General features: G+C 42.6%; 1 protein-coding gene across 19 annotated transcripts in view; it reads left to right on the top strand.

Moving 5' to 3' along the window:
- ARMH3 (armadillo like helical domain containing 3) overlaps window positions 1-20,361 on the top strand; it is a 210,575-nt gene that overhangs the window by 54,435 nt on the left and 135,779 nt on the right. For 16 of the 19 annotated variants that reach the window (XR_001747199.2, XR_007061987.1, XM_047425735.1 and 13 more), the window contains 4 exons: window positions 6,384-6,442; window positions 8,136-8,201; window positions 9,701-9,770; window positions 11,128-11,188. Coding sequence is in view for 17 of the 19 variants with exons in the window: in XM_047425735.1 (XP_047281691.1) it covers window positions 6,384-6,442; window positions 8,136-8,201; window positions 9,701-9,770; window positions 11,128-11,188 (256 nt within the window). In the remaining 2 variants the exon portion in view is untranslated. The remainder of the gene's footprint in view (window positions 1-6,383; window positions 6,443-8,135; window positions 8,202-9,700; window positions 9,771-11,127; window positions 11,189-20,361) is intronic. The other 3 variants (XM_011540154.3, XM_047425736.1, XM_011540152.3) reach the window with 1 other exon arrangement.

The following is a 20,361-nucleotide window of genomic DNA, read 5'->3' as shown; positions in this document are numbered from 1 at the left end:
AATTGGTCTCTTTGAAAGCTAGCAAATCTTCTTAGCAGATCTTGGTAAGTAGATGCAGACTCTTATGTGTGGGAAGTGGAGGGATTAGCACGCTTCAGGGAATTCCCTTTTGAGGACAGGAACTGAAAGCATCAGCTCGTGGTGAGAATTAGAGGACTGTCGTACACAGTACAGTAGGAAGAGGTGAGATTCAGAGGGACTCTGTTCTTGAACACTTAAAATAGAAGTGTCAATACCCATCCTAGAAATGCAAGAGTGGAAGTGGGAGAGGATTGAGTGTTGGAAAAGTTTGAGGTTTTGTTGTGTGATTTCCTGTTTTTCCTCTGTTTGTGATTTTGCCATGGCCTTTTACTTGGTGGTAGAGTAGTGGAGTAGTTGTCCTAGGATTGAGAAGGGGTTGGAAGGAGACACAGCAAATTCTATCCAGTATATATCTTAGTTTTGTTTTTTTTCCCCTACTTAGCATTTTTCTTTATACAGGATTTATGTGAGTGTTCACAATTTTTATGTTTGTTTTTATTGTGGTAAAGTATATATAACAAAATTTACCATCTTAACCATATTTAAATGTACTATTTAGTTGCATTACCTACTTCCATATTTTTGTACAACCATCATCACTGGCTGGGTACGGTGGCTCATGCCTGTAATCCCAGCCCTTTGGGAGGCTGAGGCGGGAGGATCACTTGAGGCCAGGAGTTCAAGACCAGCCTGGCCAACATGGTGAAACCTTGTCTGTACTAAAAATACAAAAATTAGCCGGCCGTGGTGGCATGTGCCTGTAATCCCAGCTACTCGAGAGGCTGATACAGGAGAATTGCTTGAACCCGGGAGGTGGAGGTTGTAGAGAGTTGAGATCGCGCCACTGTACCCCAGCTTGCATGACAGAGTGAGACTCCATCTCAAAAAAAAAACAACAAAACTATCATCACCATCCATCTCTAGAACTTTTTATTTTTCTGTTTTTTGAAGGCAGGGTCTCAGTCTGTCAGCCAGGCTGGAGTGCAGTAGTGTGGTTTCAGCTCACTGCAGCCTTGACTTCCTGGGCTCAGGTGATTCTCCCACCTCAGGCTCCTGAGTAGCTGGGACTACAGGTGTGCACCATTATACCTGGATAATATTTTTTTTGTGTGTGTATTTTTTGTAGATACGGGGTTTCGCCATGTTGCCCAGGCTGGTCTTGAACTCCTGGGCTCAAGTGATCTGCCCGCCTTGGCCTCCCAAAGTACTGGGATTACAGGTGTGAGCCACCGCACCTGGCCTCAGAACTTTTTCATCTTACAAAATGGAAACTCTATACCCATTAAACACTAATACCCCATCCTCCTCTTGCCCCAAGGCCTGACAGCAACCATTCTGCTTTCTGCCTCTATAAATTTGACTGCTCTAGGAACCTGATATAAGTGGAATATATCCCAGTTTTAGGATTGCCTGGAAGTAAGCCTTTGATTTCATGGTGACACTGAGCTAGCATTTTTTCTTCCATTTTTTGTAATGAAAAAATTCTAGTATACAGAAGTTGAAAATAATTGTGAAGTGATTTACCTATATACTCATGAACATTTTACCATACTTGGTTTGCACTTAAATTTCTTTCTGTGTGTTGTTGTTGTTATTTTGGCTGAATCATTTTATTTTATTTTATTTTTTATTTTTTTGAGACAGAATCTTGCTCTGTTGCCTAGGCTAGAGTGCAATTGCAACCAAGGCTCACTGCAACCTCCGCCTCCTAGGTTCAAGCCATTCTCCTGCCTTAGCTTCTGGAGTAGCTGGGACTACAGGCATGTGGCACAACACCTGGCTAATTTTTGTATTTTTAGTAGAGACGGGGTTTCATTGTGTTGACCAGGCTGGTCTCAAACCCCTGACCTTGTGATCCGCCCACCTCAGCCTCCCAAAGTGCCGGGATTACAGGTATGGGCCACCACGCCCGGCCTGGCTGAATCATTTTAAATGAAGTTGCAGACATCATGATTCTGCTTTACACATAAATATTTTAACATGTATCACCTAAAGTTAAGGACATTTTCCTAGATATCCAGAATACCATTATTATATCTAAGAAAGTCAACAATAATTCTGTAGTATCATGTAATATTTAGTCCCTATTTCAGTATCCCCATTTGTCCCCAAAATGCTTGCTTTTTTGGGACACAAAGCTAGCATTTTAATGAACATTTTTATTAGCATTTCTTTTGGTACCTACAGATTGATCCAGTGGGCTTCTCCTATTTAAAAGGATTTTTTGGCTGGGCGCTGTGGCTCACACCTGTAATCCCAGCACTTTGGGAGGCCTAGGTGGGAGGATCACCTGAGGTCAGGACTTTGAGACCAGCCTGGCCAACATGGTGAAACCCTGTCTCTACTAAAAATACAAAAATCAGCCAAGCATGGTGGTGGGTGCCTGTAATCTCAGCTGCTTGGGAGGCTGAGGCATAAGAATCGCTTGAATGCGGGAGGCGGAGGTTGCAGTGAGCCAAAATCATGCCACTGCACTCTAGCCTGGGCAACAAGGGCAAAACTCTGTTTCAAAAAAAAAAAAGGATTTTTTTTCCTAATTACAAAAATAATTGAAATATTCTTATTAAAAATTAAAACATTCTAGCAATAGTTAACTTAGAAAGTGAAAGTTCTTTGTAATTTAAACTCTCCAGAGTTAATCACTCTTAACAATTTGGCATAGATTCTTCCTTTTTAAGGCTTCTTTATAAGAATCTTTAAATCCTTTTTAGGAACTAACTGTCCAGTAGTTTATATTTGGGTTCTTAAATTATGGTCCACAGATGAACTTCAGATTCCTAAATAACAAAAAAACCATTTCCACTTTAGAAGCAAAATTGCTGAAATACTATGGTTTTTGCCACTTTACTTTCTGTGAGGAGAGATTAATGCCTTGTAGGTGGTTTAAGTTTCCCTTAGGCATTAAGTATACTCTAGAAGTCTCTTATTTGCCAAGTGAGGTAGGTAGGTTTCTGGTTGGAGAGTTTTCAGAAGTCTAAGAATGGAGCTGAAAGGCAAGAACTGCATAGGAGGAGAAGACCAGGATTCGGAGACTTTTAGAGTGAGAAAGAAACATTGGTAGACAGAGACAGGAGAGCTAAAAGGTAAGTATGGGAAATGAAGAATTGCCAGAGCAGAAAGGAGCCTGGGTGGGCAGAGTCTAAGATATGTTACACTCAGACATATTGTATTAGCTCTTGGAGATTTCTGCCTTGCAAACTTAGACTTTTTTCTTCCTTTATGTTTTGCAAGTGTTCTCTTTCAAGAAAGAGAGAGCTATATCAGGGATGAGATAGATTTAAGTAGTCCATGTCACTAACTCCTAACATAAAACAGTCCATTGGGAGCTGCAGAGATAGCTGAACCTCTGAGACTTGGCAAGAGAGATCTGGTAAGCAAGGATAACCAGACTTGTGTATCACTTTCTTGAAGCCATTGCTTCTTTATGGAAATGGTAACCTCTTCCTTTCTCTAGAAGTATTGCAGCAACCACAGAATAGAGACACTGCATGGATGTGACCTAGAAAATGAACTTTTAGCTTTGCCGGATATAACACAGTGAACTGAGGCCCTTGGAACTCATTTTTAGCTTTAGTGATTATATAAGCTTCTTTGTCTTGGTCACTTGCCATCCATAAAATGGAAGGCAAAATTAAAGGCTGATTAATTGTAGAATGAGTGGTCTTGGCCAACAGGCAACCTAAATATGGCAAAGGGCAAGGTTAGGAATGAAGAGTTAATTTCAAAAATGACTCCTGTGTGGCTTTATTGGCCCAGCTTTCTTCCTGCCTCAGCCCCTGCTGCATGCCTTGGCTAACAGCATCTCATTATGTTTTTAGCAGCAATAGAAGCAACTTTTTCTTGGCTCTGTTTCCACCACCGCCATGAGGATATTATCTTTTTCCTTTTTCTTATATATTTATCCTTTAAACCCAAAAAGATACTTTTAATAGATATGTATAATAAGGTATAAAGTTTATAATAACTATAATAAATAGCATAACTTATAAAGTATAATAATAAAATGAACATATGTGAACCTACCACCCAACTTAAATAAAACAACATTAATGCTGTTGAAGCTACCTGTGTGTCCCTCCCCAATCACTTCTCTCCTCTCCATTCTCCAGAATTTTTTTTTTTTTTTTGAGACGGAGTCTTGCTCTGTCGCCAGGCTGGAATGCAGTGGCACGATCTCAGCTCACTGCAACCTCTGCCTCCCGGGTTCAAGCGATTCCCCTGCCTCAGCCTCCTGAGTAGCTGGAATTACAGGCTTGCGCCACCATGCCCAGCTAATTTTTTGTATTTTAGTAGAGATGGGGTTTCACCATGTTGGCCAGGATGGTCTCGATCTCCTGACCTTGTGATCCACCCGCCTCGGCCTCCCAAAGTGCTGGGATTACAGGCATGAGCCACCACGCGTGGCCCAGAATTTTGTATTTATCATTCCTTTGGTTTTGTTTGTTTGTTTGAGACAGAGTCTCACTCTGTCACCCAGGCTGGAGTGCAGTGGCATGATCTTCTCGGCTCACTGCAACCTCTGCCTTGTGGATTCAAGCGATTCTCTTGCCTCAGCCTCCTGAGTAGCTGGGATTACAGGTGCATGCCACCACGCCTGGCTGATTTTTGTATCTTTAGTAGAGAAGGGGTTTCACCATGTTGGCCAAGCTTGTCTCCAACTCCTGACCTCAGGTGATCATCCCACCTCAGCCTCCCAAAGTGCTGGGATTAGAGGTGTGAGCCACTGAGCCCAGCCCCTATTCCCTTGGGTTTTCCCCTGCTTTTAAAGCCTTTATTACTTGGGATTTTTCTGACTTTGGTGGTGTCACCTTAAAGAAGCTTCTGCTCAACCTTTATAATAGATACTAGGCAAAAAATTGTAAAAACCATGTATATCTATGCATAGACTTAAAGTTGATTCACCAAAGTCTTAACAGTTATAACATTTGGGTGGTATGATTAAATTTGATTTTCATTGTTTTGTGTGTATATGCTTTTTTAGAGTTTAAAAGACTGTCTATAATGAAATAAGCCTAGTTTTGTATTCATAAACACTTTAATTTTAAAATTAAAAAAAATTTTAAGTGGAGAGATAGCTGCAGGCTTTTCTGTGGGAGTTGCGTATCAGTTTGTGGGAGGATAGTGCCATAGAAACTGGCTAAAGGTGGGTAGAAGAGTTGTGAATCTAGTTTTCTGGAGGCAAGGGCATTACTCTTTGGCTATATCGGGGCTTTGATGAAGCTCCAGGGAGTGTCAGATAGGGATTGTCACCATTACTCTTTTTGCATTGCCTATCTCTGAGGAGATGTGAGTATATTTGTGGATTGTAATCCCCATTATGCCATCTAATTGTCAGGTTTTAATTGATAGATCCCATTTTTGAGAAAGAAGCAGGTCAATGTCAGGGTAAATAGTAATAGCTAACTTCTACAGCACTCTAATCCATTAAGAGGTCTTCTCTCTAGATTGGACTTCATTCTGGGTCCTGTTGAAGCTAATTTGAAAATCATGAGCCATTTGTCTGTTTTGGCTATGCTGGCATGATCCTCTTCTTACTTCCTTTTCACTCCTTCACCCACAGAGTTTCTGGAAAGTAACATAAGCTTGATGGGTTCTCGTACTTGGCAGTAATGGATTAGCTCTTTTTTGTCCTTTTGTGTGTGGGCTTAGAGCCCTGCTACTGAGGTTGTCTTCTTCTTTTTTAATAACTAGAATGTGAGTTGTGAGAGACCAGGGACCTTTGTCTGTTTTATTCAGTGCTATATCTCTAGTGCCTTGCACAGTGCCTGCCACATAGTAGTGCTAAGTAAATATTTGTTGAATGAGTAACTTTGACAGGAAGAAAAATGATCAAGAGTTCACAGCTTTCTAGGGCATAAGTATACAATTGCAAGGAGAAGCGTGGGCTGGACCCTAGTCTCCAGTTAATTTCTTTTTGATTTCATTGCCAGTTTGCTATGAGCAGTCATGAAATCTTTCTAGATTTTGTGGTAGGTGGTGCTTAGAGCTGGCAGATGAGAGGGTGGGTGGAAAAGGAAATGGACCTGACTATTCAAGTTCTATCAGCAAAGGGCTGATGTGAGAGTACTGGCCACTATTTGAGCCATGACAGTAGGAACCATTGTGAGTTAGATGGCTTTCAGGAAGGTGGTTAGCCATTTAACAGACTACCAGGATATTAAAAAAATAAATCTTCTGGGGGAATTCTTTTGCCTAGGAGGGAAGCAAGAATTACTATAGTAGTACCTTGATTTTCATTTATGGATTTTGTGGGAAGAGAAAGTGTGAATGTTTCCTTTTATGATATACGTCCTTGTTCTGTATTGAAACAGATGATGTAAATCTGGATGATTTACAGAGAAGAGTTTCTTTTTTCTTTACAGATGAACACAGGCTTCACAGTGGCAAACTCTGTCTGATTATCCTTACATGTATTGCAGAGGTAGGTCTCACGAGCCTTCTGCTATTAGGCAGTCTTTTACAAAGTGCTATCTTTCCCTGCCTCCCCTCACCCCATTACTGTCTCATGACATTTAGGGTCCTAAAGTTTAGGAGAGAAAATCTTCCCCCTTTGTATTATCTGTCTTCTCCCACTAGAGTGTAGTCTTCGATGAAGCCATGGATAGACAGGGTCTTGTCTGCTTCCACGCTGTTTAGCACTGTGTTTTTAAACTGTGGAGCAGTTTGTTTGTTTGTTTGTTTTGAGACGGAGTATCGCTCTGTTGCCCAGGCTGGAGTGCAGTGGCATGATCTTGGCTCACTGCAACCTCCACCTCCCAGGTTCAAGCGATCCTCGTGCCTCGGCCCCTCTAGTAGCTGGGATTACAGGCAGTGCCACCTTGCCCGGCTAATTTTTGTAATTTTAGTAGAGATGGGGTTTTGCCATGTTGGCCAGGCTGGTGTCAAACTCCTGACCTCAGGTGATCCACCCACCTCGGCCTCCCAAAGTGCTGGGATTACAGGCGTGAGCCACCATGCTCGGCAGTGGAGCAGTTTAAAAAATAAAAAAGGAGCTCAGGTTTCCTGTGATGGGGTGAAGGGGTGGATAGTAAAGCCAGAGAGGGGAATTGGAAACTCAGTAATTGCAGTTTGCCGAGGAACAAGAGCTGAGGGGAAAAAAGAAGAGATGCTTTGGCTTTTTAAGAAGCCACTTTTGGTTGGACTAATTAGGTTCAAACTCACCATGTATCTTGGTGACACACAGGCATGGCAGAACTTGAGTGAGTTTAGAGCTAAATTTATAGCTTCAACCTCCCCCTTTACTATTCCCCACTCTGCTCTTTTCTCTCTTAAGAAAAATGGTGAAGATATTCCACATGAAGTAGAGATCTCTCTCAGTCTCTCTCTCTTCATGTTCTCTGTGGAAAGATGACCTCCTTTTCACAAGATTAGGGGTGGCTGGTTATGGAAGAGCTGCTTATTAGCAGTGGGCCTGGTATAATTGCTTTTCAAAAATCTTTCTAAGAAAATCTTTAAAGGAGTTGTTTTTCACAAATTGTAACAGTTCCTTGTAATTGGAGTCTGTAGGCTTGTCAGATCTTCAGAAAAGGTATTGGGAAAGGGCCAAGGGATGTTTATTACTAATCCATGGTAAGAGGTTTTTGATTTTCTGTCAGTCTTCAGGAAAGCCCGGAATAGACAGGGTCTTGCCTGCTTCCACGCTGCCTGTGTAGCAGTTTGCTTCTGTTGGGCTGAACCCATTCCCAGCAGAGCACAGATTTTTCTTCTTGCTCCTAAACCCTCATGTGGAGCCTGCACATGAATCCTGCAGCCTCTGTGAAAACCTTAAACTATCACAAACAGAGCCAGCTCCTTGGGCAGATGGGACGGAAGAGGGAATAGGAAAACAGATTACTCTCATTCCTCTCAGCATCTGCCTTAAGTCCCTGCGTCTTAATTTTTATTGTTTTTGCTTGGAAATTTTTGACCAGTTAGAGATACACTGGGAAATTACACTAAAGAAAAATCTCATGGCTTAAGTAGGGTTTGACATAAGGCTCTAGGCTCATCCTATTAGCTGTCCAGCTGATCCTTGAAAGTAGTTCTCAAAGTCCAAGGATTTGTACGAAGTGTGATAGATTACAGTTTCTTAAATATAGCTCTCGCTTCTTACTTTTTCTCTATATTTTTATTAGGATCAATATGCCAATGCATTTTTGCATGATGACAACATGAATTTTCGAGTAAACTTACATAGAATGGTAGGTGTTTCTTTTGCTTCTTGTTTTTTCTTAGAGGAAATTTTTTGTATGTCGGCAGGGTTGGGATGAAATTGATCTTACTAGAACAAATGTGGGTGGAAAGTTGTGCCAAAGGGCTTTGCATGACGGCTGTTCAACAGACCCATGCTTGTTGTTGGGATTTTTGTGTGTCATGGAGCTGTTTCTTAATCAAGAGTTTTGGAAGATTCACAAGCGTGGCAATGATACTGGATTTCTTTTTTTTTTTTTTTCTTTTTTTGAGGGAGAGTCTCTCTCTCTCTCTCTCCCCCCCAGGCTGGAGTGCAATGGTGTGATCTCTGCTCACTGCAACCTCTGCCTCTTGGGCTCAAGCAGTTCTTCTGCCTCAGCCTCCTGAGTAGCTGGGATTACAGGTGGCTGCCACCACGCTCGGCTAATTTTTGTATTTTCGTTACAGATGGGGTTTCACCACGTTGGCCAGGCTGGTCTCCAGCTCCTGACCTCAGATGATCTGCCCGCCTTGGCCTGCCAAAGTGCTGAGATTACAGGTGTGAGCCACCGCGCCTGGCCTGATACTGGATTTCAATAATATAGGTTTCAGCAAGGAAATGGTTCTAAGCCTTTTGTTTTCAAAATGTAGTATAATTTTTGAGTGGCTAAGACTAGCTGCTGCTCAGATTTGTTCATCTGAGAAGTGGGCAAATAGAATATGGAGGATCAGGGAATTTCTTAAAGCTTGGAGGTATGTTAAAAAATATCACATTGAGGGCCGGGCTTGGTGGCTCATACCTGTAATCCCAACACTTTGGGAGGCCAAGGCGGGATCACAAGGTCAGGAGATTGAGACCACCCTGGCTAACAGGATGAAACCCCGTTTCTACTAAAAGTACAAAAAATTAGCCGGGTGTGGTGGCAGGCACCTGTAGTCCCAGCTACTCAAGAGGCTGAGTCAGGAGAATGGCGCGAATCCAGGAGACAGAGCTTGCAGTGAGCCGAGATCGTGCCACTTCACTCCAGCCTGGGCAACAGAGCGAGACTCCGTCTCAAAAAAAAAAAAAAAATTACATTGAGGTTTAGATGTAAAACTTTCTTTATTTTTTTGCAACTACTACTGTTGCTGCTTCTATAGGTGGCACCATCACTTCCTCTTTTTTTTATTATTATTATTTATCGTCAAAGAAAAACACCAGTGTACCTCTTTTGTCGTTAGTAATGCCACTTATATAACTAAAAGCAAAGTAAAACCAACAGTTTTCCCATTGTAGTATTCTCTAGTGCCCTTTGAGGTTGTGAATTGTAATTTTGTAACAGGCGTGCATTGATAACTGAAGCATTCACAAGTCCTCCCTTCCCCGCCTCATCCCATGCTACCTCATTCCTCTCCCACCATGTGAAAAAGAGAAAGAAAAGGAAGTATCCCTGTAATAGTGATTTTATTTGCACAAGGAACATGATGATGGGCCATTGGATGTCAGTGCCGGTGTCTACTAATTTCCTTTCTTCATTTTTTTGGTGTGAAGCCTATGAGACACAGGAAGAAGGCAGCAGACAAGAATCTTCCCTGCCGTCCTTTAGTATGTGCAGTACTGGGTGAGTGAGTATCATCAACATTGACATTGTTCTGTGACAGCGATAGGCTTTCATGATGAAGATGAAGAGTAGAACCTGTTTGATGTGCTTCTTCCGCAAATAAATTATTAGTTGTGTTTTTTCCCTGGCCTAAGAATCATGTTTATTGTTGTGTTTGGTAAAGCAACCCCAGTTATAGAGTGGTCAATAAAAGGGTCCTGTTGTTCAAAGAAAAAAGTCATTCCAGTGAGACAAATGGCTGTGTCTAAACTTGATACATGATTTACAAGATACATGATCAAGATTTCAGGCTGGGCGCAGTGGCTCACACCTGTAATCACAGCACTTTGGGAGGCTGAGGTGGGCGGATCACTTGAGGTCAGGAGTTTGAGATCAGCTTGGCCAACATGGTGAAAACCTGTCTGTACTGAAAATACAAAAATTAGCTGGTCGTGTTGGCGTGCGCCTGTAATCCCAGCTACTCAGGAGGCCGAGGCAGGAGAATCGCTTGAACCCAGGAGGCAGAGGTTGCAGTGAGCCAAGATCACGGCATTGCACTCCAGCTGGGGCGAGACTGCATCTCAAAAAAAAAAAAGATTTCAAATTCTTCCCATCCTTTCTTGGTTTGAATTGATGTGCTGGCTGGCCAGGAGGCTTGAAGTTCATGGTTTACATATACAAAACTTCCCCTGAGTATATTAAACTGAGATGAGGCTGACTGAGTTGACAGGTAGGGGGCTGTATCTTGGGTAATTTTGTCTGTCCAGAATTCTGCATTTTCCTCAGGGAATTAGCTGAATTCTTAATCCCATTTCACTTGGATATTCAGCCCCAGTTTCTAAATCTACTTAATTTTAGAAACAGTAATTAAGGCTGTATAATAAGCCTCTCTTGACCCAAAGCCCCACAGCCCATTTCAGTCAATATCTGTCTAACTGAGCATGATAGTAAGATGAGATTGACTGACATAGCTTTAGAGCTGAGTCTCTGGTTACACAAATGTGATCCATAATTTCTTCTCAGAGCTTGCTTCATTGTCTAGTCTCAGAATATGATTTCCCTTTGGCAGTCTGCATTAATGCCATGGGATGAAATATCTATACAATGAAATTTTCCATTTATCTGAATTTATTGGCAGGTCAGGGTATCCTTCTGGAGGTCAGCAAGTGAAATAATTTCTTATTACTTTACAAGTGGCAGGTGGTGAACAGTGTTACACAAAATGCGTTATATAAAATAAGTGTATATGAATAAAGATGTGGTTAGTGGATGCCGTTCAGTGTGAGTGCAAGGTGTACTCAGAAGCTTTTTTTCCAACTCAAAGACAAGAAATGAATTCCATTGTAATTGATCCAGTTTTTCTCTATTCCCCTTTCAGACCTGATGGTAGAGTTTATTGTAACACACATGATGAAGGAGTTTCCTATGGATCTCTATATGTAAGTACAAATATGTACACATTTAATGTGTACAAATCTATTTTAAAGAACTGAATGTTAGAAAATTCATGGTCTGTGTAGGCCGGGCGCCATGGCTCACGCCTGTAATACCAGCACCTTGGGAGGCCGAGGCGGGCGGATCACAAGGTCAGGAGATCGAGACCACGGTGAAACCCCGTCTCTACAAAAAATACAAAAAATTATCTGGGCGCAGTGGTGGGCGCCTGTAGTCTCAGCTACTTGGGAGGCTGAGGCAGGAGTATGGCGTGAACCCAGGAGGCGGAGCTTGCAGTCAGCTGAGATTGTGCCACTGCACTCCAGCCTGGGCGACAGAGCGAAGACTCTGTCTGGGAAAAAAAAAAAAAAAAAAAGAAAGTTCATGGTCTGTGTATACTTTAAGAAAAACACATTTGCATGTGGAGAAGTGTTAGGGAACATTTTCTGGCCTGGATCTGTACATCTTTTCAGAAGAGGTAATAAGCACAAACCACAATGTGGATTCTGCACATATCCGCATGATCACTTCTAGGCACACTGCATGAAGAGGGAGCCGACACATGAATATAGTGATCGCAGGGGTCTGTTGTAATCAAAGATATGCAATACCAGCAGACCACTTAGTTGTCTCTGAGCTTTCGCATTAGGTAGGACGAATTTAGAGAGAGATAGCGCTTCTGATCCATTCTTAGCCTACATTGTCCTGACAGCCTAGCTGGAGCCCTATTATCTGGGCAGATTATGTCTCCAGTGGCCTCGCCGGGAGAGTCCTGCCTCCTGAGGAGAACTGTTTGACCATCACAGTTTTTTGTTTTTGTTTTTGTTTTTGTTTTGAGACGGAGTCTCACTCTGTTGCCTAGGCTGGAGTGCAGTGGCATGATCTCGGCTCACTGCAACCTCTGCTTCCCAGGTTCAAGTGATTCTTCTGCCTCAGCCTCCCAAGTAGCTGGGATTACAGGTGCACACCACCATGCCCTGCTAATTTTTGTATTTTTACTAGAGATGGGGTTTCACCATCTTGGCCAGGCTGGTCTCTAACTCCTGACTTCAGGTGATCCGCCCACTTCAGCCTCCCAGTGTGCTGGGACTACAGGCATGAGCCACCACACCTGGCCGACCATCACAATTCTTTATAATGAGCACAACTGGAGGCAACTCAGAATCATCATATTTTCTTTTTACTTTGTGACAGGGCCTCACTGTGTTGCCCAGGCTGGTCTTCAACTCCTAGGCTCAAGCAGTCCTCCCACCTCAGCCTCCCAAAGTAGCTGGGACTACAGGTGTGTGCCATTACACCTAGCCATTATCATATTTTAATAAAGTTTAAACCTTAAGAGTTTTGTTTCTCCTTTGCCACTCCTCCTACATTCTTCTCTTTAACACCCAAGAACAGCTGTGCCACATTAATGTGATCTCAAATATGTATATTATCTTTAGTCCTTATAAAACATCTGAATTGAGTGTGACATCAGAATTGCTCCCTCCGATTTTTGGGCAAGAGGGTAATTTGGTGAACAGCAAATTGAGTAAAGCCCATTGCAGTGCCAGGCCTGGGATCTAGGGAGGTATAAAGGATTTCAGTCTAAATAGAGTAGACCTCTAGCTTGCTTTTTTTTTTTTTTTTTTTTTTTGAGACAGAGTCTTATTCTGTTGCCTAGGCTGGAGTGCAGTGGCATGATCTCAGCTCACTGCAACCTCTGCCTCCTGGATTCAAGTGATTCACCTGCCTCAGCTTCCCGAGTAGCTGGGACTACAGTCGCGCACCACCATGTTGGCTAATTTTTGTATTTTTTAGTAGAGACAGGGTTTCACCACATTGGCCAGGCTGGTCTAGAACTCCTGACCTTAGGTGATCTGCCTGCCTTGGCTTCCCAAAGTGCTGGGATTACAGGCGTGAGCCACTGTGCCCAACCTTCCGGCTTCTTAGATTGCTTATAAACTATATAGTCTTGCTTTCGTAGGTCTGAAATAATGATACAAATTTTACTTTTAGGTAAGTAGGTTGCAGTTTGCATTTTTCCATACCTTTTGGGTGTTTAGAAGTAAGTCTGATCCTTTATTTCAATTCAAAGACCATGAACAGTTGCTTTTTATAACACTTAACAGATGAGTGTTCAGCTTATTTTAGCTGGGGTCCCTGAACTTCATTATCTTAGGGTTCAGATTTGTTTTTGCTATGGACTTTATTTCTGGCTTATTTTATATCCTAGTTTTAGGATGTGCTATTTACTTTGTAACACGTATTACTGTAGTTTCAATTTTTTCATTTTAAAAGAAAGGAAACTGAGGCTCAGGAGATTAATTACTTTGCCCAGGGTTATTCTGTTAGTAAGCATCATTGCCTAGATTTGAACCCAAATTTTCTTACTATAAATTCTGAACTGTTACATTCCCAGGTGTATTAGTTATCTACTGCTGTGTAACAAACTACCCTAGACGTAGTGGTTTAAAACAAACATTTATCACCTCACAGTTTCTGTGGTTCAGGAATCCAGGAGAAACTTAACTGGATAGTTTTGGCATAGGGCCTCTCAAAAGGATGCTTTTTAAGGAATAAAGGTAATATGCATACTTGAGGATCACATTAACGTGGCACAGCTTTTCTTAAAGAGTGTTAAAGAGAAGAATGCAGAAGTGGCAAAGAATTAAAAAAAACCTTAAGGCTTAAACTTTATTAAAATAAGATGATGACCAGGTTAGTTGGGGCAGCAAGTATCTGAGATTCTACTGGGGCTCAAAAATCTGCTTTCAGGCTCACCTAATGGTTGTTGGTAAGCCTCAGTTCTTCACCACGTGGGTCTCTCCGTAGGGTTGGTAGGCATGGCAGCTGTCTTTCCCCAAAGCAGTTAATCTAAGAGAGAAAAGGGGAGCGAGAGCCCAGGATGGAAGCCATAGTATCATGTATAACCTAATCTCAAGTAACATATCATTTCTAATGGTCACACAGACCAACCCTGTTGCAATGTGGAAAGGGACTATATGAGTGTGTGAATACCAGATTGGGGTCCATCTTGCAGGCTGGTACCACAGTTGCACAGCTAGTAAGCTGCATAACTAAGGTTAAAATTCATGTCTGACCCCGGAGGCTGTTCTCTTAATCATGTCTGTGATAAGTGATGGAGGAAAGATTTGTATAGAGTGACTATGCTGACTGGAGCATTAGAGAAGATATCGGAAGGTTGCATTTGACCTGAGTCATGAAGAAACACTAGGGATTTTCTGTGTGGAGGAGTCAGGGAAGGACATACCACGTAGGGGACCAGCATGTTTAGGTGCTTGGAGGCTAGAAAATGTGGTATGTTTGGAGAATAGAGCATAATTCCAGGTGGTTAGAGTGTAGAGTGCATGGAGGGAGGATAAGAGAGTAGAAAAAAAGCTTGCCCAAGATTAAGTGGATGATGAGGAACAGTTGAAGGTGGGGCTGATATGATAAGATTGTATGTTCATTACTGTAAAGTTACAGGTATATTATCTGTTTACCCAAACCCCCACATTTCTAGCCAATGAACCTGGTCTACCCAAATGTTCTAACTCCCTCCTCGCCCTTGTTCATAACTTCACCCTCAAAAGAGTTTTTATCTTGCCTTGCTTTCTTAGGCGCTTTTTCCACCTGCTCCTTAATTTACTGCCCTGGGGTTAGGGAAGATGGAGAAGATAACGAGGCATCAAGTTGACAGAGGCTGGGCAGAAGGTCCCACCCTCAGGCTGAATTCACTTTCTTCATTACTACCCCTGGGCATGTTTCCAGATCTTCCTTCCCCCACTTCTAGCTCCCTTTCCAGTTTTTAGAATTTGAAGCATCAAGTCCTTATCAGGTGAACTTCCTGCTTCCAGCTGGGCAGCAGGCCAGGCTGCTGCTCTCACTTCTCATTATGTACCCCTTTTCGGCAGTATACAGCAGAATGAGAAATTGAAAGCAAAATGAATTTCTGCCATTTCAGATAAGTTTATAATCTTCCTAGTGAAATATGAAGAAATATGGAGTTTGGAAAGACTTAATACTCAAAGCCAGAATCTGGGTCAGAAATGAAACAATTTCACATCTGTGTGTGAATGCTGTAGGTAATGATGGGGGAAGGTGCTTATACTGAAGAAAAAAAAAAAAAGAAAGGTCTTGCCTGGAGCAGTTAAGAGGTAGCAAAACCGAACCAATTACTTTCACCTCCTAGCTGTACTCCTTGATTCTTGCTGCCACTCTCACTGCCACCACAGGATTGGGGAGTGAGGGGATATAGTCTCTGGGAGAGTAAATTTTCCTTTAAGTTACTCTTACATCGAAAACTTGGACTCTTCTTAAGTCACATATTTCCAAACCTGTAGGTAGGCATCAGAAGAAAGGTACAGACTTCAGTGGGTCCTACAGGAAGATTTCAGGAGAAAGTGGAACTCATTTTGTGTTGAAATAGGAAATTGCTACAAGCATGAAAGAAGCCCCACAAGAAGCACTAAATTTAGAGTCATTCTGCCAGTACATACATATGTGTGTGTGTGTTTGTGTGTGTGTGTGTATTTTATTTCATTTATTTTTATTTTTTTTTGAGACAGAGTCTCTGTGTTGCCCAGGCTGGAGTGCAGTGGCATGATCTTGGCTCACTGCAACCTCCGCCCCCCAGGTTCAAATGATTCTCATGTCTCAGCTTCCTGAGTAGCTGGGATTACAGGTGCCCACCACCACACCCGGCTAATTTTTTGTATTTTTAGTAGAGACAGGGTTTCACCATGTTGGCCAGGATGGTCTTGAACTCCTGACCTCCGGTGACCCATCCACCTCGGCCTCCCAAAGTGCTGGGATTACAGGAGTGAGCCACCGCGCCTGGCCTATGTGTGTAATTTTTTTTTAGAGGCAGGGTCTTGCTTTGTCGTCCAGGATGTAATGCAGTGGCACGATTATGGCTCACTCTAACTTGGAACTCCTGGGTGCAAGCAATCCTCCCACCTCAGTCTCATGAGTAACTAGGACTACAGGCTTGCACCACCATGCCTGGCTATTTTTATATTTTTTGTAGAGATGGGAGTTTTGCTGTGTTGCCTAGGCTGTCTTGAACTCCTGGCCACAAGTGATCCCCCTGCCTCAGCCTCCCAAAATGTTGGGATTTACAGGCATGAACCACTATGCCTGGCCTCCAGTATATATATATGCACACACATATACACATGTATGTATGTATATATACGTATTATATATACATGTATACATATATGTGTATATATAAACCCATGCGATCTGTATATATATATGTATATACATGTATATATACGTGTGTATATACGTATATACACATACGTATATACACATATATATACACACGTATATATACATGTATATACGTATATATATACATATATACGTATATATATACACACATATATATTCATATATGTGTACACGTATATATACATTATATTTATATATGTACACATGTGTGTATATATATGTACACGTGTGTGTGTGTGTGTGTGTGTGTGTGTGTGTGTATATATATTTTTAGATGGAGTCTCTTTCTGTTGCCCAGGATAGAGTGCAGTGGTGCTATTTCAGCTCACTGCAACCTCCGCCTCCCAGGTTCAAGCAATTCTCTGCCTCAACCTCCCAAGTAGCTGGGATTATAGGCAAGCACCACCACGCCCGGCTAATTTTTGTATTTTTGGTAGAGACGGGGTTTCACCATCTTGGCCAGGCTGGTCTTGAATTCCTGACCTCGTGATCGACCTGCCTCATCCTCCCAAAGTGCTGGGATTACAGGCGTGAGCCACTGTGCCTGGCCTCCAGTATATATATATATTTTTAAGGCCATAGCAGTGGTTAAAATTTTCATTCTGCTTGATAAATAGTATAAATTATTGAAACCACAAGGCTAATGATGTCACCTGTTGGTGACTGTGGAGACAGGAACAGAATCTAGGAGCAGTGCTGGAGTGGATGTGGATAGATGGCCGCAGGGGTTGGGGATGTAGGTCGCATCTCATTGGTGCTCTGGAGTGGCTCAGTGTTGGTGGGATGGCGTTATCAAAGGGGGCCAAATATAGGCCGTCCAGACCCAGGCCATACGAGAGGTGCTGGCATTCAGGAATGTACTGTGTGTGCATAGGTAGTCATGTATGGGCAGCATCTAGTCACATTTGCTGGCTGCAACAAAGCCATTAGCACCAGGAACCTCATGACTCTCAAGTTCATGGGAAAATTGACAGATGAGTTTGTAGATTGCTAAGGCAAATCATGCTCAAACAAGGGCATCATTAAGTGACAACTGTATCAAACAGGATCACATCACAATTTCTAAAAATCAGCAAATTATTTGGAAACAATTAGGATGATTTATATTGCAACTTATGTCACTTGGTAAGCAATTTTGGTACAGGCTTATGAGTGTAAAAAAACATAGTGTTTTTTCTGTTTTCTCACTCAACAACGACAATCAACACAGAAGACTTCTATGACCAAATGTGGGGAGGGTTTAGTCCCTACACACCAAGCAAGCAATCAGTTCTGTAGCAGATAGCAGCTGGGTGTACTGTATTTCAATTCTGACACTATCTACCTGGAGGTAGTTTCAGATCCCATGGGTTTAGGGCTCAGTCCCTAAGACTACCCCTGGCTTTCAAAGCCAATCAGAAGCCCAAGGTTATTTTGCCTGTGTTTCTGATGGACCGGCTATAAATTGGGGTTCCTACAACCTCCTCCTTAGGTTTGATTAATTTGCTAGAGTGGCTCACAGAATTCAGGGAAACACATTTACCAGTTTATTACAAAGGATATTTTAAAGAAACATATAAACAGTCAGATGAAGAGATACATAGGGTGAGGTCTGAAAGGGTCTGGAGCCCAGGAGCTTCTGACCCCATGGAGTTGGGGTGTGCCAACCTCCCTGCACGTAGATGAATTCTTGTTCGCCTTCCTGTAGGCCTCCATGTGTTTAGCTATCCAGAAGCTCTCCAAACCCTGTACTTTTGGTTTCTTATGGAGATTTCATTATGTAGGCATGTTTGATTAAACCATTGGCTGGCCATGGTTCATGCCTGTAATCCTAGCACTTTGGGAGGCTGAGGTAGATGGATCACTTGAGCCCAGCCTGAGCAACTTGGTGACACCTTGTCTCTACAAAAATTAGTTAGGTGTGGTAGTGTGTGCTTGTAGTCCCAGCTACTTGGGAGGCTGAGGAGGGAGGATGGTTTGAGCCGTGGAGGTCAAGGCTGCGGTGAGCCGTGATTGCACCACTGCATTCCAGCCTAGGTGACAGAGTGAGACCTTGTCTCAAAAAATAAATAAAATAAAATAAAAACCACTGGCCATTGGTAATCAACTTAACCTTCAGCCCCTCTTCTCTCCCTGGAAGTCAGGGCTAGGGCTGAAAGCCCAGCTCGCTAATCATGCCTTGGTCTCCCTGGTGACCAACCCTCATTCTGAAGCTACCTAGGGGAGGCCAGCCGTCAGTCACCTCAACATACAAACAGACATCACTTTGGAGATTCTAAGGATTTTAGGAGTTGTATGTCAGGAAACAGGGTTGAAGACCAAATATATATTTTAGAACAGTGGTCCCCAACCTTTTTGGCACCAGGAACCAGTTTCATGGAAGACAATTTTTTCACAGATCTGGGGGCAGTGATGGTTTCGAGATGATCCAAGTGCATAACATTTATTGTGTATTTTATTTGTTATTATTACATCGTAATATATAATGAAATAATTCTGTAACTCACCATAATGTAGAATCAGTGGGAGCCTTAAGCTTGTTTTCCTGCAACTAGATGGTCCTGTCTGGGAGTGATGGGAGACAGTGACAGATCATGAGGCATTAGATTATCATAAGGAGCCACAACCTAGATCCCTTGCATGCGCAGTTCACAATAGGGTTTGTGCTCCTATGAGAATCTAATGCTGCCACTGATCTGACAGGAGGCAGAGTTCAGGTGGTAATGCAGACCATGGGCAGCAGCTGTAAATACAGTTGAAGTTTCCCTTGCTCACCTGCCACTCACCTCCTGCTGTGCAGCCTGGTTTCTAACCAGTACTCGTCCATGGCCTGGGTGTTGGGGACCCTTTTTACAATATCACAAGGTTAGTTTATTAGAGAATAAAAGGGAATGACTTAAAATTTTTCCATGTATGTATTGATTTATAGATTATTTTTCTGTACGGTTTGTAAAATACATGTTTTTTTCTTTTTTTGAGACAGTCTTACTCTGGCATCTAGGCTGGAGTGCAATGGCGCAATCTCAGCTCACTGTAACCTCCGCCTCCCGGGTTCAAGCAATTCTTGTGCCTCAGCCTCCCAAGTAGTTGGGATTACAGGCCTGCACTACCACTCCTGGCCAATTTTTGTGTTTTTTTTTTGGTAGAGATGGCATTTCACCATGTTGACTAGGTTGGTGTCAAACTCCTGACCTCAGGTGATCCACCCACCTTGGCTTCCCAAAGTGCTGGGATTACAGGTGTGAGCCACTATACCCGCTATACCCGGCCTGTAAAATATTTTTAATATCACTGCTGAAGGTACCCCAGTCTTTGTTTTTTTTTTTTTTTTTTTTTTTGAGATAGAGTCTCGCTCTGTCGCCCAGGCTGGAGTGCAGTGGTGCGATCTTGGCTCACTGCAAGCTCCACCTCACTGCAAGTTCACGCCATTCTCCTGCCTCAGCCTCCCGAGTACCTGGGACTACAGGCACCCACCACCGCGCCCAGCTAATTTTTTGTATTTTTAGATAGAGACGGGGTTTCACCGTGCTAGCCAAGATGGTCTCAATCTCCTGACCTCGTGATCCACCCGCCTCTACCTCCCAAAGTGCTGGGATTACAGGCGTGAGCCACCATGCCCGGCCTGTACCCAAGTCTTTTAAGAGAGTACTGTTTAAATAGTTTTTACTAAATTCTGTCTGAGAGGCTCCTGCAAGACCACTTAGGGAGTGAGAAGAACAGAGAGAGATGTGAATAATGGAGCAAGTAGAATAAGCTAATAAGGTAGCAATGGAGGCTTATTATTCGGAGTGCTATGAAAATATCTGGAGAAGAGTAATTTTAGGACTTTAGCTTATAAATTTAGTTCAATTCACTTGTATCCTTGGTACGTTGTTAGGCATTTTGTTTATTTATTTATTTTTAAGACGGGCTATCACTATGTTGGCCAGGTTGGTCTTGAACTCTTGGCCTCAAGCAGTCCTACTGCCTCAGCCTCCCAAAG

The sequence above is a fragment of the Homo sapiens genome, chromosome 10 (assembly GCF_000001405.40).
Source record: "Homo sapiens chromosome 10, GRCh38.p14 Primary Assembly".
Classification (NCBI taxonomy): domain Eukaryota; kingdom Metazoa; phylum Chordata; class Mammalia; order Primates; family Hominidae; genus Homo; species Homo sapiens.
This window is presented reverse-complemented; position numbering and strand designations above follow the sequence as displayed.